The sequence below is a fragment of the Homo sapiens genome, chromosome 2, assembly GCF_000001405.40.
Source record: "Homo sapiens chromosome 2, GRCh38.p14 Primary Assembly".
Lineage (NCBI taxonomy): Eukaryota > Metazoa > Chordata > Mammalia > Primates > Hominidae > Homo > Homo sapiens.
The window spans coordinates 79370285-79388947 of record NC_000002.12 but is presented as its reverse complement, the minus strand read 5'-3'; the positions used below and the strand labels follow the sequence as shown (position 1 = coordinate 79388947).

The following is an 18663-nucleotide window of genomic DNA, read 5'->3' as shown; positions in this document are numbered from 1 at the left end:
TAGAGCCAAGATAGATAAATTATGATTAAAATGCAGGTGAATTTTTATGTTGCAGGGAAAAAATATTTCTGGGATGAAGCCAAGAAAAATATGGAATACCTGTTAAAGTGTTTATGTTAAGATGGGGAGAGGATAGCAAAATAATAAAAAAATTAAAAAAAAAAGAGGAGAGAGAAAGAAAAAGGATGGTGACCGTGTATTAGGACTCAAAGGTAAGTTGGTAAGATCAGGGAATGAAGTAGTTGTCAGTAACTGCATCTGCCCTCATTAGATCTTTGCAGAAAGTCTGGAGCCCAGCAATGTAGAGTGGGAGGAGGGCAGAGGTAGAAGAATCTCAAATGTATGCTGTGGACACTATTGTGCAACCAGCCTACACATCATTACTGTAAATTCTGCACCTGTGTTTGTATATGAAACCTTGTTTTATATTTCTTAACTTTTAAATACATATGTAACTACAAAAACTGGAGACCTAAATAGTCAATAATTCTGTTCACTAAATATTTCTGGTTCTATACTTTTGGGAAAGTTCTGGTTTCTTGCGGTTGGAATGAAGCCAGTAGCTAGTTCTGGCCAGCGAATCGATAACAAAAAAGTCATGTATACATTCTAGAGATGACCATTAATTACTAATTTAAGACCTCCCAGAAGTCAGCTTCCCTTTGGAACAGTGACCTACTCCATCAGCCTCGGTTCTTGAGAGTGAAGTCATCAGCTCCTCTCCAACATATGCTGGATAAATAATGTGGATGACAAATAAACCTTTGCTGTTTTAAGCTACTGAGGTCTTGGGACTGGTTGGCAGCAGAATAACCTAGATTATCTAGCAGAAATATCTCCTCAATTATATTTTCAGATTTTCTGTTTCTGGGCCAGTTCTGATTGAGTAAAAACCACAATTATTTCAACAGCTTTATTCTCCCCTTAATACAGTAAAATCAAATCCATGCTTCAAGATGCAGGGTCTATGTCTTATTTTACCTCCCATAATAGGATCTCTACTCTCTGTGGCTCTCTGGTTATATTAGTTCCTTATATTCTCACTCCCTGCTTTCTCACATCTGGTTTTGAATACATCTATAGATTTGTAATCATCTTTCAGTTCTCAATGGTTATTTTACCAGTCCAGCTCTTTTCTAGGACCAGAGTCTTCCTGGAATGCCCACTTTAATGTCAGTGAGCCCACTGCCTGCCTTTGCCAGGAAAAGGTCTGGAGCTCTGCCGCCAGGTTTTGGAGTTCTGCTTTCTTTGGATAGAGTTCCCACATTTAGCACCAGCAGTCAGTCTCATTCCTGGCTGGAAGCTCTGCCTAATTGGAAGTGTCGGTGCCAACCTGTGCTGAAGCAGGGACTATGAGTAGGGTGCTTCCTTGGACTTGGTGTTTGGCCTATGTAGCTGTGTCTCTAGAGCCAAGTGCTGAAGCTAGATCCATTTTCCAAATGTCAGCTTTACCACACCGTTCAACTCTGCACTTGATTCTGGCTCTTTCTTCTTTCACGCTGGTTCCATATGGGAAAATGTGACCCATGATGGTTCAGAAGCAAGTTCAGAATGGAAAAGTGATTCCCTGACGAGCTAATCTGGAAATAGAAAGCTTAGTAAATAGACCAACAAAAGAGCATTATTAACAAGATCTGGAGAGACAAAAAGAGAATGAATTTCAGGTTCTAATTGCTCAGAATCAACAGGCAGACTGGCCAAAGCCCATGCCCAGAGCGCAGAAAGGTAATCTGAGATAGGTGGCTGGACTTATCATATAGGACCTTGGAGCACTAGTCCAGGAATCTAAAGAAAACTCCAATTCTTCATATTTCCAGGGAAATTAGACAGAAAGGTCAGCCTGATCCTCAAGAAAAAAGTAAAGTAAATCATTTCAAAAGAAAAGCAAAAACAGAGACAACTTATAAGGGTGGCTGTGATAGTACAGCAGCTGGATTTCTGACTCTAGCATTCTATTTAGACCAATATTTCTCAAAGTGGCATCCACACATCAGTGGCCTCAGTACCATGGGTGGGGGCAGGTTGACAATGTGAATAAATGCACCTAGCAAATAATAATACTTAGATAACCAAGATGAATGTGTGAAGATTCTGCTGCCTGTTAAGAAGGACATGGATCCCTTTGTCAAAGTCTAAAACCAAAAAGGACAGACAAAATCACAATGAATTGTTAAATAAGTTGTGGTTAGCAAGCATGCATGTGGGAATTATTTACAATACATTTAAGGGAGAAAATAATTTCTGGAAGCATTTCTTATCTTGAGACTTTTCAGTTTCAACATGAAAGGAGAGGGAAAAGACCAAATGTGAGAATAAAATAGTTAAGTAAGGCAGGCTTTGGTAAATAAGACAGAGTGTATTATGAAAACACAGATGAAGGACTCTTTATTTCAAATTAAGAGACTATGTTATGTTTTCATTAAGAAGAACCTAAAGCAGATAAACTTTTTAGAGGAGGATATTGTGGAGAAGAAAAAAGTGCATTCTAAGAGGAAGGAAAAGTATAATCAAAAGTACAGAAGTGGAGAAAACCTGCACAAATGTTCCCTTTTAAACCATCAGCTCCCAAATGTTGCTTCACAGAGTTATGCCGTTCTTCCTGTCAACAGGTAGCTTACTAAAAGATTCCTGAGTCCCAGATGTGAGGATTTTGACTTAGCAGTTAAAGTGGGCCCAAAGGAATTGTAATTTTGAAAGGTTTCTCATATCCATCAGTGATCTTTGTAGATGAGTAGAATCTACTCCAGAGGCATTACGGAGATATGTGTTAAAAAGACCCTATTGAACGCTTTTACACTCTTAGTGGGAGTGTAAATTAGTTCAACCATTGTGGAAGACAGTGTGGCAATTCCTCAAGGATCTAGAACCAGAAACACCATTTGACCCAGCAATCCCATTACTGGGTATATACTCAAAGGATTATAAATCATTCTACTATAAAGACACATGCACATGTATGTTTATTGCAGCACTCTTCAATAGCAAAGACTTGGAACTAACCCAAATGCCCATCAATGATAGACTGGATAAAGAAAATGTGGCACATATACACCATGAAATACTATGTAGCCATAAAAAAGAACATGTTCATGGCCTTTGCAGGGATATGGATGAAGCTGGATGCCATCATTCTCAGCAAACTAACACAGGCACAGAAAACCAAACACCACATATTCTCACTCATAGGTGGGAGTCGAACAGTGAGAACACATGGACACGGGAAGGGGAACATCACACACCCGGGCCTGTTGGGGGGTGGTGGGCAAGGGGAGGGAGAGCATTAGGACAAATACCTAATGCATGTGGGGCTTAAAACCTAGATGATGGGTTGATAGGTGCAGTAAACCACCATGGCACATATATAGCTATGTAACAAACCTGCACATTCTGCACTTGTATCCCAGAACTAAAAGTAAAACAAAATAAAATAAAATAAAATAAAATAAAATAAAGACCCTATTTAACCCTGTTTGCTAGCTGCATATATATGTGCATATATACATGCAGTGAATTAAATATATATTTAATCACATATATTAAATAAACATTTAATCCAAGTGGTCTACTGTTGCTGGAATATAGGCGGAAGAAGTGACATTTTGGGGAAGGTGATGTACATGTAGTGGTTACACCAAAATAAGACGGCAACCTTAATGAGTGGCAAAGTGGCCAACAAACAGGATGCCTCTGGCATCTCTTTCTAGTACCTGCTAATACTCATGAAGAAGTGGTAAGGGCCTATGTGGGAACAATCCCTCAAGACCCAATACACTAGACACTCAATTTTACTAGTACTACTATCTCTTGAAGACTCTGACTCAAGAAGATGGAAGCAGGTCACCAGTTTCAGAAAGGGAAATGAGAAAATCATAGTAAAAAGCAAGTAAGTCATGGACATTCTATGCATAGGTCAAGTTAATGTTATTTTATGCTAAATTGCATAGCATTCTGTGATAGGCATTTAACTCTAAGTGTATCTAAGGATAAAAAATGTGATTGCCTGTTTTAGTACTAATGTTGTCATTTCTTAAAAATACAACAAATGCCTTTTAATGTGATTTTTATGTGATATCGAACCAAATTCCTAGTATAAGTTAATGTGAACTAGTCTGTTTTATTCTTTACTAAGTAGTGAGATTAGAGATCATGAAGGTGGGATGGCTGGACTTGAGCACGGGTAGAATTTTGACAAGGAGGAGTAAGGAAGAAAGAGTTTCAAAAGGGTTAGTTAATGCAAATGTGCAAAGAGAGTGCAGAGCAAGTGAAGGAATGGCAAACAACTTTATCACATTTTCTCTGCCTTTTGAAGATTTCAAAGTAACATCCTTTAAGTTGTCTTGAGTACCTAACATCCTAAGTACCTCCTAATGCATCCATTGTTTATATTTATACCACTTAGTATATATCACAGCTACTTTGACACCTACATTTCTTATAACCTTTATTTCAAAGTGCTTGACATCCTAGTTGGTTTTGAAAACCTGAAATAAGATGCCTTACTTTGGAATAAAGTGAGAGAGAGAGAGAGAGAGAGAGAGAGAGAGAGAGAGAGAGAGAGAGAGAGAGAGAGAAGAAATATGCATTCAAATTACCAGGGAAAGTATATGTAATGCTTTCCTTGTACAGCCTGGAAATGAAAACCAAATTTTCCTGACTACCAATGTGAAAGCGCTAGAAGATTCAGTAGTTACTTTAAGACTGAGAAAAGAGATGTTTAAGCTGGAAATGATGAAAGGCTTTTTAATTAAAGCAGCATGAAAGATGGGTCTGCAATTTACGCTGATTGTTTTTTATCATATACTTCTTCATAACTTCAGTAAATCCTGGGGAGGTTGGGAAGCTAAGTGCTGCATTCCCTGTGCCTATCTTGGTTGCTAAATGTTTCCCATTCATTATAATGCTTGGCCTGTAAGCACCATCCAATTTCTCTACGTCCTTCCCACTCTTCAGACCACAATGATTATGAATGGGCCTAGATAATAGCTCCTACTCTCCTTTCCCTCTCTGTCCTATTTTCAAAGATAACAGTTGTTCCTTGCTGCTGTCAATAGGCATGCCATGCAAACATAAGACAGGGTTTCTTATGTACCATTTGCTGTCATCCAGAAAGGTGGACAGTCTCCAGACCCCCAATTTCAGCAAAGGACTGGCAGTATTTGATTAAGGAAACAAATGCTTTTCAAATCACATGGAATTCAGGAAATAGTTCCCAAGGTCAAATTGGATATGATGCTGCTATGGCTGCTTAAATCCAGCTTATTTGTTAAAGCCCAAAACCACCTAGGGCTCGGCATCAAGATTGCAGAGAGTGAACTAGCTCGAGAATGGGTTTTTTAACATCTGCCTGCATACGCACTATGCCATGTGATGGAAAATTAGGAGGTAAGTATATACTTCCCATATACTTCCTTAAACAGCTTCTTACTGCCTTAGCTCTCTTCCACCAAAGCCCTCTAACAGCATGGGTATTCTAGTTTCTACACAGAAACTACAAAGTAATTCACCCTCCCCCAGTCCCATGTTTTATTTCCACACACTTTTCTCTATCCATTTAAATTCTATCTATCCTTCAAGGTCCATTCCATACTCTAACTCAGTCTCTCCATTTAATTATGTTCCTTATTATCCCCGATCATACAGAATGTAGGAACAATGTCATGAAATTTGCCATGTACTCCTAAGTTGTTTATGTCATTATCTAAGATTTTTGGTGAATTATCCTTGTCTCTTAGGTATTAATGAAAACTCTATTCTGAAAGGCACTTTATCTTCTACTGTTTTGACTTCTATCCCCAGGACCTCTGTCTTCCTTTAGATTTACCAAAGGAAATTCACAAATGCTTTTTCATATATTGGATATCTAACTTTTTAAAATAGAAAAACTCATACACTATTGACTTATTACAGTTAGGAAGTTGAGCGCAACCTCTCAATGTGTTATTCTTCTTTTCATCTCCATATCACTGACAGGTGGTCCTCCAGGACTGCCTTAAATACTCCGAGATAAGACATTTATTAAAATTTAATAGTTTATGGCTGGGCGTGGTGGCTCACGCCTGTAATCCCAGCACTTTGGGAGGCCAAGGCGGGTGGATCACGAAGTCAGGAAATCGAGACCATTCTGGCTAACACAGTGAAACCCCCTCTCTATTAAAAAATATGAAAAATTAGCCGGGCGTGGTGTTGGGCACGTGTAGTCCCAGCTACTCGGGAGGCTGAGGCAGGAGAATGGCATGAACCCGGGAGGCAGAGCTTGCAGGGAGCCGAGATTGTGCCACTGCACTCCAGCCTGGGCGACAGAGCGAAGAGTGTCTCAAAAAAAGAAAAAAAATTTAATAGTTTATTTTATTTTGGGATGTTTTTAAATGCTATAAAATTCCTCCTAATGATAGCCTAAGGTGCTCTTCAGTAACTTCCATTCATTGTCCTAATTCTACTTTCAGAAATGGCATAAGATAATTGGAAACCTTCTTCTTTTTTGGTAATAGCATGTATTTGTTGGGATTCTCCAGAGAAACAGAACAAACAAGATGTATACACACACATACCCAGACAGAGAGAGAGGAATAAAAGAGAAAATTATTATGAGAGATTGGCTCATGTGACTACGGAGGCTGAGAAGTCCCATGATCTAATGTCTACAAGCTAAAAGCTCAGGAAAGCCAGTGGGGGTAGTTCCAGTCCAAGCCTCAAACCCTGAGACCCAGAAAAGCCAGTGGTATAAGTCTCAGTCTGAGTCTGAAGGCCTGAGTACTAGGAGTACTGATGCCCAAGGACAGGAGAGGATGTCCCACCAAGCAGATAGACAGAATTTACCCTTCTTCCACCTTTTTGTTCTACTTGGGCCCTCAATAGATTGGATGATGCCTACCCCCACTAGTGAGGGTAATGTTCTTTACTCAGTCTACTCATTCAAATGATAATCTCTTCCAGAAACACCTTTACAGAAATACTCTGAAATAATGTTTTATCAGCTATCTAAGTATCCCTTAGCCCAGCCAAGTTGACACATTAAATTAGCAATCACGCAGTCATTTAGCTATCTGAAGGCAAACATGCTTGCATTGCTAAACATTTGGTCAGGATGGAACCCAACAGCAAAAGACTTTCATAATGAGACAACTCCAGTTCATCACCCACAACACACAGAAACTTCAGATCAAATGGAGAGATGCTTGTTGAGCAATCTATTATGCCTCAGAGAGCTTTGAATGATCACTGGATAGACAGAGAGAAGTCATATGCTGCTGGAGCCTCTGAACAAAGAGAAACCTCTGGAAACCTTAGTCAGTTCCTCAATTGAGGTATGAACTTCTTTTACAAGATGTCTGCAAAGTAGCCTCTTCCGTCTGGCTTAGAAATCTATACCAATGCATGAGCAGCAACATCCTTGATGAACAAGCAAGTACTGCAAAGAAGACATGTCATTAAGAGGTTAGATGCAACTCAAGTGTATTTAAAGTTGACTTGATAGTTTTTGATCAATTGAATCAAAACTATGAAGATGCAAATACTTCAGTGAAGTCTGTGAAAATTACAGTATGAATCGTAACAAAAGTAAAAATTTTTTCAGTGACTGGGGCATAGTGAGGTGTCTTGAAAGAGGATTGTCCTGAAACCTAGGAGATTTGACTTTTGGGGGTTTTTCTATTATTATTAATTTACGTGAGTTTTGGGGTACATGCATCTCAGTTTCTTCAACTGTAAATTAAGGAAGCTGAGTGGGTGACCATCAAGGCTGCTTGCAGTTCTAGCTTTCCCTTTTTAAATACGCTTGTGAGTTCTTCTACTTACTCACTGTGGTGCTATGGAAAAGCTCTTCAACATCTTGCTAAGAGAATAAAGCCAAATGTTTATTGTTACATTAATTGACATAACCAATCTGTCCCCGAAAAATTCTACAAAAATCCAAGAAAATCATCCTGTAGGGATCAACGAACTTCAGTGCTTACCTGTTTTCTAACTTTTCTTCAAAATTTTGCCTGATCCCTGTACCAGACTCTGTATAGTGTAGTTCACATATTATTTGAATTCAAAGCAGCTTTGGAGAGTACAACCCTCTTATCTTACAGTTCAGGCATACTGGACTGCAGTGCAGGGTTTCTTTACAGCAATGTTATAGCAGAAGAAAATTTTGCAATGTAATTTTCAGGAAAACTAAAACTAGGAAATATTTTTGTAATGTTAAAAGCCACCTTCTAATTTACCTGTTTTATATACTTGGTAAATATTCCTGTGGAGAACAACCTCCCCACCTCTGAAGCCACATCTAATTGCAATCATCCAGGTGTTGCAGGTCTCTAAAATCCTGCTTTTTCTGTAGTTGCTTGTTTAATTGAAGAAAAGGAAAAATAAAATCTCCGATGGAAGGGTAATCAAAGCTTGAAATATGCATTTGGACTGCTTAGAGTAACTGAATTCACAGACTAATTATTGGCTTATCATATGTTCTGTGCTGTGTGATTCAGGATTGGGAGGGGCTGCCACATATGATTGTATCTCTTTAGGGCCCAGTTGGCTTGACAGACTAATGTTTGCCAAATTCATAAAATCTTCCATTTTCATAAAATGGAAGAGGCATGGCACAGACGGAGAGTAATGCTGCTGCCTTCAGGGTTATAATGGTGAAACCTCTCATCCCTGAACAACCTGGGTCTTGTTCATTCTTAGTCACGGAAAAAAAAAAAGAAAGAAAAGAACAGAAAATCTTCAACCCTACTGCAATTTTATTCCCTGTGATACCTTTTTCTCTAAACAAGACTCTGAGGCACAAGTGCCTGGGAGGCTCTTTATAATATTTTCACTATGTATCATTTTGCAAGAAAATTTCCGTCCAGTTTGGAGATTATAAAAAGTTGTTTTGTAATGTCCCTCTGGACAGAAGAAAGTGGTACAATAAATTGCAGCAGCACATCCTTATAAACAACATTAACAGAACTGTCTTGAATGTGGACATAAGAGACTATGGGGGTTCTGGGGACCTGTAAAACTGGATATTTTGAAGACTATTTTACATAACATTGTGTACATTATGAGATTGAATTTGTCTATATTTACTTCTTCCTCTCTCAGATCTTTCTTCCACCCTCTCTTCCTTTTCTCATTTCCAGAAAGTTAACTAGGGCAAAAGGCAAAATTATTAAAAAATTTTTTTTGAATACGAATCTGGGATATTTCTTCCTTCCCAGAAATACTAACATAATCACTGTCTCTCTACCAAAAAGCTTTAGGACTTTTAGGATTTGTATTTGTGTGACTCATTCATACTACTTCAAGGTGTTTAGCTCAAGTAAATTGTTGGACAAGTGTGAAAATGTTTGTAGAAGCATCTTAACCACAATCGTATTATTCAATTCAGTTCAACAGATATGTTAGAGAACCCCCTATGAGTTAGTAACTAGTTAGCTACTGAAGATTTTAAAAAGTGAGCTAAGTAGACATAAGTGTATACAGGTGAGAAAGGGAAAGGTATGCAGTATGATAAGTGCTATGATAAAGGCCCTATGGTGGGGTTGAAGGATGGCCACATAACACAGACCAAGGAGTGAGTGGGCAGCAAAGGCTTCTTGGAGATTTCTACATGTATTTCAGCTCAAAAAACAAACAAATGATTGTATATTTTTATAATGGAATATTATACATTCATAACGCATGTCATTATTTACTTATTCTAATGAGAAAATGTTCATCATATATTGTTTAGTGAAAACCAGACAGGCCAACCTAAGTTATGTGCAGTAGGATCTATGATTTTGTAATACGGAATATATTCATGTGCAGTTACAGGTATATGTAGAAAATTTCTGAGGTTAACCATTCTTGGTAGTGATTTCTCCCTTTATCCCTATCTATTTAAATATATCTAAAATTAATGCATATGATTTCAGTAATTAAAAACAAAGAAAGGAATGCTTACAGAGTGAGGCAACTGGCATAGGAAAACAAGTGGTACTGAGGCTGGGAAGGTGAGAGATGTGCTATCTAGTCCACCTGAGCGATCCTGCTGCCTTAGGCAAGGATGCTTTATCAGACCTCCCCATGACCCAAAGAAGTATCCTTCAGGTCAGTGCCACTCTCAGAGTTTTGATTGAGACAAGAAGCATTGTAACTAAATCATTTATACTTAATACCAAGAAAAAAGGGTCCTGATAGAGAATATGAGCGAATGAGCTCCCAAAAGGATTTTTTTTCCATTATAAATGGTTATTTGGGCATTCTGCTTCATGTAAGCACCTCATGTAAATGTATTTCTGAGAACCCAAGCACCTCTAAGTAAAAGTTCAGCTTTTGGACATTCAATACTCAGGAGCAAATATTATGTAGAATGGAAACTCTCAAACTACATATTTAGAGTGACATGTAACATCTCCTCGACAAATGACATTTGAAGGATAATTTGGTATTTTCCATGTTGTTAGGTACTATGAACAAGACCACAGGAAACTATGTCTTTGGATGCATGTAATAGTGGCTATCCACATGACAATAGGCCCCACAATTTTTTAACTATATATCCCTATTAAAAAACAAATAAACAAAACTAGAGCATACCCTACAATACATGTATATTTATTTACACAATATTTACATATATTACATCTGAAGCTCTTGTTGCTACTTAGGGGACTCTGTTTTAGAGAATAATACCTACATTTGATCTTTTCTCTCCTCAATTCCTAGAGACACCATTGCCCATGTCAAAGACATGTACATTTGGTTTTGATTATTGTTCCCAAATAAAGTACAAAATGGGAACTTTTTATGTCTATTTTGGTAAAATTATACCTTATACTTAAGCATGTATACAATAGTCATCATAGTGTGTAGGAATAGAAAGACCATGATGAAAAAAATTGCCAATACTTGTGGTCAATACTGTGTCCTACATATACCATTTGACTTAATTGATTAGGATGATTAGAACACTGCTTCATGTTGAGATGCCACATGCATGTCAAGAATGATGAAAAACATTAGATTTTACTGTATGTGCAAGGTAAAAAGTTAGCCTGCCGCAGTTTAAAGCTGGCAGAGTCAAGAAACTCCTAGGTCAGAGACTAAGGACTGTATTACTCATGGCAGAACAAGCAGCAGGTGCTTCATGTTTGCATCAGATAAGAAAGGGAAAGGGATGCAGTATGATACTTGCTATAATAAAGGCCCTTCAGGTGCTATGGCAGACAATAGAGAAAAGCCTGGCTAGATGCTATGCATGCAATGAGTATGCACCAAAGAAGCCTGAGCTTAGAAAACCCAACTCTTTTGTAATGGAATGAAAGCAAACATGCCCTTTTCCCCAGAGGGAAATATTACCACTATTATTCTGGAAAGGAAACAAACAAATATGCCCTCTGCTTTGGAGAGAGATACTGTCTCCCAAAACTGCCTGTATAAAACCATCCTTAGAAAAGATAGGCTAGAACAAAATGGCAGTTAGTGACTTGCTTGCAAGATCTGCAGAAACTCAAAGACCTATGGTGAATTGTCTGTCTACAATTATGGGCTAAGCAGCTTTGTACAAATAAAAAATTATTTTGGCTTTCTGGTGTACTTCAGTGCATATCATTTGGGGATTTAGTCAAGGACCTTGTACAGCATAGTATGGATTGTTCAGCATAGTGTCTTTCTAGGTTAGGAGACACAACTTTATGCCTTTTCCTTATTGTTGGGATGGGGTTATATCCTTGTATGAAGATCAGCATATCATCACTACTGGCCCTGATACTTTATATTAACATAGTGATTAAAGATACCATCTCACACCAGTTAGAATGGCAATCATTAAAAAGTGAGGAAACAACAGGTGCTGGAGAGGATGTGGAGAAATAGGAACACTTTTACACTGTTGGTGGGACTGTAAACTAGTTCAACCATTGTGGAAGTCAGTGTGGCGATTCCTCAGGGAGCTAGAACTAGAAATACCATTTGACCCAGCCATCCCATTACTGGGTATATACCCAAAGGATTATAAAACATGCTGCTATAAAGACACACGCACACGTATGATTACTGCAACACTATTCACAATAGCAAAGACTTGGAACCAAGCCAAATGTCCAACAATGATAGACTAGATCAAGAAAATGTGGCACATATACACCATGGAATACTATGCAGCCATAAAAAATGATAAGGTCATGTACTTTGTAGGGACATGTATGAAGCTGGAAACCATCATTCTCAGCAAACTATCGCAAGGACAAAAAACCAAACACCGCATGTTCTCACTCATAGGTGGGAATTGAACAATGAGAACACATGGACACAGCAAGGGGAACATCACACACCAGGGCCTGTTGTGGGGTTGGGGGAGGGGAGAGGGATAGCATTAGGAGATATACCTAATGTTAAATGAGGAGTTAATGGGTGCAGCACACCAACATGGCACATGTATACATACGTAACAAACCTGCACGTTGTGCACATGTACCCTAAAACTTAAAGTATAATAAAAAAAAATTAGAAAAATTTCAAAAAAACAAAAACAAAAACAAAACCAACCAACAAGGGGCTATTTTGGCTATACTCAACATAGATAAATTCAGTTATTCAGTAATACAGGTAGGAGGTTTTTAAGCAAAAACACACAGGATCAGAAACCACATGGGGCTTAGAACTGGAAATCAGTTGGAACACAAGCAGTTTGGGGACAGCCCACCGTTGCTGTTTCCTACTCATTTCTGCAAGCACTCTCTCTTTGTAATGCTCTTTTTTCCTTGGCCTCCCCATCCCTCTCTGGGTGTCTGCTGCACCTTAACTCTGGCTGCCTTCCCCATCCTCTACTCTTCATCCTTATTTCGTCTTACTTCTAACCTCATCTACCATCTTCTGCTTAACTCAAGCGTCCTTCTACATGCAGCTTTCTCCTGAACCAAAAGAGCCTTGACTATCCCTTATGACTTCTGCTCTCTGGGCATGCTTTCATTTTCGGTTCCTGATGCTAATTGTCTGATTCTTGTGGTTTCTCTTGGTAGGATGCAGATTGGCTCAGCTCATCTCTTCATACAAGTCTTTGTCATGAGTTACAGGCCAGACTCGTTTTAAGCATTTCTTGATTATGCTTGTTCCAAGGATGCACTTTTTAAAATGAATGAATGTATGAGTTTGGGTAAAATGGCCTGTAGTTCAGCCTCTTTGAAAGAAATTGTAGGCTTTGCACCGGCATGTTTGAAGTGGCTCATATGTTTTTGTTAATCTAATTTTAAAAAATTAGAAGCTCAAAGGATTTAACTGACATACTCAAAAGCACCAAGAAAATATTTTCTTAGTGTCACTGTAGTACCTTAAACATCTTTCTTTAATATCATTCATTTTTCCCTAGTATAGAGTATTTTTAACAGGCCTATTTTCTTCATTAGTCTATAACATTTTTGAAGGTCTCAGTATTTCTTATATTCTTAGCTCTGAGAATTCCCAGGCCTAGAGTCGACACTGTATAAATGTCACATGAATGAATGAATGCTTTATTGAATCAATTAATGCATGATCTTTGAGGACTCTTTCTTCTAAATTACATGGCAGAATAAAGAAGGAACGATGGCGAAAAGCTCTTATACTCATTAATGAACAACTACTACATGCCAGGCACGGTCAGAAATATTTTCACTTATTTACTGCAATTCTTACAAAAAGCTTACAAGGTAGTTGTTGCAGGCTAACTTGGTCAACAAGATGAAACACGCTATCAGATCTCACAATGCAAGTAAAAATCAGAATCAGAATTTGAATCCAGGTATGTCTGACCGTAAAGCGTATGGTTTTTTAAAAAATTAAACTGTGTTAGTATCCACAGCTGCCCTGATTGCTGATGCAGAACAGAATGAAATAGTAAAGAGAATTCAAAATGAGACCCAACAACAAACAATTTACGGGCTATGAAACCACAAGGAATATGCATATAGGATGTTCCAAAAATGAGCAACTCTATTATGCTGAAAATCGTCACTTCATTATAAATGTTTCCATTCTAAGCTCCATCCCTCACTCTCTGTTAATAATTCAAGCATTTAAATTTTTATTAGATTGTAAATTGGCACACAGGTCATGAGCCTGACTTCACAACTGTCATATTCAAAATTGGAATGGAATGAATCTCTTTCTGCTTCCAGTCAAGTCACCCATTTGCACTATCCAAATATGCCTAATGGGAAGGAGAGACACACTTGATGGGAGGAAAAAAAATCTCATGGAGTTAACATTTGTAGTGCAATCAAATTAAATTTCCATCGGATTTTAGTTTAAAATGGTGCTTGGCTAGTTGCTGCTGATACATCATCTCCCAAATTTCCACTAAAATATCAATGAAGACACAGAAAAAAGATAAAAAATATACATCATCTACAGAAATGAAAATTTCAGAAGAGTCTATTGCTCAGAATAATAGAGAATGTTGACTAAATGTAAAACCGAAGAAGCACAATAGAAAAATATATATATATTACTCTAATGATGCTTATTCCCAGGAAACTGAGAAACCCTTCTCCCCTGGAAGGAGATAAAGAATTTTATTTCTTCCTGCATGTCAGTCCATGAATCAGTCTTAGATTTTATAATGACAAAAGTTAAGTATGAAGTCGCCCCATTATTGTATTTGTGCTTATTTTGTAGCAGCTAAAATACCAGATCCATGCCCCTTTGCATGTCTTTCTATATCTCAGAGATGTTAATTTTAGAAAACAAGAGGGTTAGAGACAGGGGAAGGTATGCATTGTTATGCACTAGACTTCCACAGAAGGTTTTACTACTTGAACAAGTAATTCTCTATTTCTGCTGCTGCTGCTGCTGCTGTTGTTGCTGGTGATGATGATGAATAATCAGGGACTTGGCAAGTGGGAAAAATGGCAAATCCTATCATGAGCATGAAATATTCTTAATTGGAATTAGTGAAAGAGTACGAAGAATAAGCTTGAATGAGATAAGTTAAAAAGGTCTTGCCTTTAGGTTCAGCCAGATGACATTCATGGACAGTCTCCTGCTGTGGCTGGGTTGCTTCTGACGTTCATTCTGGACTCCAAGGACAGGCTTCCATTGGCACTCATCCTGAGTGCTGGCTCTGAGACTTAAATCTCTGTGACTCCAGGCTGGCTGCTTAAATGCTCTGAGTCTCAATTTTCTTATCTGTAAGATGGAGATTTAACACTCATATCAACAGGTTATTGTGAGAATTAAATATGATAATGAATGTGATTAGACACCATAAAGCACATGTAAAAGCTTGTGATTGCACTGCCATCCAACACCATTTAAGGTCTGTGTAACTCACTGGGTATTTAAAAAAATGCTTCCAGGGAGTTACCGTTTTTTTGTGTATGTTTCCCTCCTCTCCCTCCATCCAGGCTGTGGGCTCATTTAGGGCAGAGCCTGCTTTTTATCCCTGTTTGTAGTCCCTTCTGCAGTTCTTTGCCCTGCACTGACTGAGTGCTTGAAAAATGCAAGCTGATAATGATGGCATCAATTTCAGTGCTATCATTATTCAGGCATTCTCCTGTTACAGAAAAGGGCATATTTTTCTTCTGCAGGTATGAATCACTACGTTTAATAGTATTCTGTATGTTTCAGTAAGAATAATTATCAGGGAGTATAAGGTTCTAGAGGGCAGGAATACTTTAAAAATATTTTACTTATTCATTTACGTGTTTATTTGTCTGCACATTGCATAGAGCCAATTGGAGATAGAGTGTTAATAAATCAACCTGATATATATTGCTCTGATGATAAAGATGCAATCTTTAGCCAGAAGGTATCATAGAGTCACACGTCTACATTTAGTTTTGAGCTGTGATAGCTAAAAAATAAAATGTAAGTACTCTGTAACAAAGTATTTGCTATTCTAATTCACAACGCAAACCATTATAACAATTTATTACAAAAATTTTCATATTGCTATACATTTTGCCAAGGATTATACCACCCTTTTTATTCACCTTATTATCTTTTATTAGGTTCCTATACTATGCTGCTGTCCATTTGTAGGGAGCTATATTTCCCAGTTGTAAAACCTGGGGAGTTGTTTGTCTTCTGAAGAAACCATGGAATTGGAAAGGAAGTCCAGGTTTAAAAAGTTTTAGCAACTTCTCTTTTTTCCTGATAGGTCCTTCAAGATTGTATACCTTTGGTAGGCCTCTGCCAATTAACGTTCAATTGCCTTATAGCCTTTGGGTATAATCAATGCCATACCGTATATCCTTTCATTTGGTGCAGAATAACTGTTCTTGTCGATCTCTGGTTTTTAACCGTTGAATGTCTTTGTATTCTGGGGAGGTATTGATTCAAGGGATCTGTCCTGAAAAACAGCCCTTTGTGTTGCTTCTCCCCTGTCCCCCTTTTCTTTTCTCTTCTTTGTCATATTCTATCACCAGTTTTGATTCTTCTCTCCTGCACAGGAATCTTTTAGTTTTCTTTCAATTTTTGCAGAAATCCTTTTCCCCCTTTCTATTAGCCACAGAAAATAAAGAAGTACATGCCTGGCTTTCAATGGTAGAACCTCGAGTAGGATATACACAGAGCACATGATTACCTTGGGAATGGAGAAGACCTGGACACGTTTCCTGCAGACTCATTTTCTGTAATTCCTGGAGCGCAGGGTTAAATACAAATGAGTAGGTAACTCTAACATGACCTGGGACTGCTTCTTTGCTGGGCAGTGACATCAAGGAGGAAAAATAATACTTTAGAAAGAGGGACTTCGTTCCTCCTGTCAGCTAGGGTGCAGTGCTATTTTGTACAGGTGTAGGCACTCAGTATAGCTCCCTGCCTGCCACCAGATGCCATCAGTCAGGAAATCAGGAATCCCAGAACAATGATTCTCACTTGTGCCACTGCTGAGGCCTCACCTCAGGTTCACCCCGGAGAACCTGATGTAATTGTCCAGGCAAGGGCCCAGGTATCCATGGTTTTCAAAGCTTCCCATGGGATTCAAAAGGTGGAGAATGGCTGTTTTAGAGTTTTCAGAAGCCATCAACTCTTTCTGCTTTTCTTCCTTTTTTATTCTTTCTTCTTCCAGATCATCTTGACAAGTTATACCGGGGATTAAATGTACAGTGCTTATAAGTGTCCCCAGTGGAGCAACCTCCCTATTCCCTAGCACCAGGATCACCAGGAGTCCTGGGTAGTGCTGCAGATTTCCGGGTTTCATTGAAAACTAAAGGATCAGAATCATTAAGGGTGTCATAGAGTGACCAGTTGACCTACTTTGCCCAGGACTGATAGGAAATTATTCTAGAACTTTTAGCCATAAAACTGGGATAGTTCCAGGCAATCTGGGACTGTAGTTCACTCTAGGAAGACCTAGAATTTTTAACCATGTTCCTCCTGCAAAGTAGGGTAGGGAATTCCTACCCTAACCTTTCTCAGGCCAACTCATTTTCTTGGGTGCAGAAATAAGTCTTTAGCAGTGACGGAGTTTCTTTTGTCTGCCAGAGAAGGAGCCTGGTTCATCTCTTGGTTCTACATGTTGTGAGAATGAGTCTCTTGCTGTTGGGTCCTGTCTTCTGTTTCCCACTCCGACTTTCCATATGTCGGTTCCACATCGTGAGTCTTTTCCCTCTGTCTGCTGCTGCTGATAGCTTCAGTTGCCTCCTCACACCCTCCCACTCAAGCTGTGTCCCTGCGGTGCATTTGCCTGCTCGTCTCCATCTGTTTCCCACCTTCTCCTGTCTGGAGAAGCCTCATGATATATGGCTTCTGAGAGAAGTGCTCCTTCCATCGCATCTTTTATGCCAGAGCCACCACTTAAAACACCCCGTGGGCCTTTCACCAGTATTGTCTAATAAAAGTCCCAAGAGAAGGCACCAGACCCCTCCCCTCTTCCCCAGGCTTGCCAGAACCATGCTAGAAGTTATTCGGCTTCCAGGCCTCCTAAGGGGAGTGTGGATTTTCCAAGCAGGCAGAGTGGCAGAGAAACTTCTCTGAGTGGCAAGGGCAGGACACAGAAAAGCTGATCAGCTCAGTGCATGACCTGGGTCCTGCTGAGCCCTAAATGAGCCATTCATCCAGTGTGACATCTGGAGCAATGGAGTTGAGGCACTCAGGGAAGTGCTTATTTATTTAGGGAAGAGATGAAGCTGTGATTGCTGCCTTCCCACCAGTCACTCAAAAGGGTGGAGAAAAAGGCGAGGACTACATCTGGACTCTGTAAATTATAAAACCATGACTCTATTTTTGAAGATTTCAGAAAGAGACTATAACCTGGAGGTATGAGAGCTCAGCAAAACTCTAAAATGAAGCACAGTGTTTTGTTGGTTTGTGCATACATGCACTTCCCTAAGCCTTAATTTTAATTATATTCTCAGTGGGTTCTATGCCTCAGAAAAAAAAAAAAGTTAAGATCATTGCTTTAAAAAATAATACAGGGAGTTCAGGAGTCCTGAGTGCAAAGATAGGTTCATTTTATTTTTATTTCCTTTTCTTCGTAGCCCACATGCCCTAGCATAGAGCTAGAGGCAGAGAAAGCACTCAGAAAGTATTTTTCCAATGATTTTCTATTGCTAACATCCAGACTCTAAAGAAAATGAAGGAGGGCAACCTGCAAATATTCACTCAGGAGTTTTGGCTGGGATTTCAAAAGCTTTAGGGTTTGTTCCTAGTTCTATCATTCATCCACTCTGTGGTTTGGGGCAGGAAACTTCACTTCTTTGGGCTTCAAGTTTCTTCTCTGCCTTTGTG

At 38.8% G+C, this 18663-nt stretch overlaps 1 protein-coding gene across 1 annotated transcript in view; it reads right to left on the bottom strand.

The window, feature by feature from the left end:
• The window catches only part of CTNNA2 (catenin alpha 2), a 1463404-nt gene that overhangs the window by 1259833 nt on the left and 184908 nt on the right, over positions 1 to 18663 (bottom strand). Inside the window, exon 4 of the mRNA NM_001399737.1 lies at positions 14935 to 15117. The gene's annotated coding sequence lies outside the window, so the exon portion shown is untranslated. The remainder of the gene's footprint in view (positions 1 to 14934; positions 15118 to 18663) is intronic.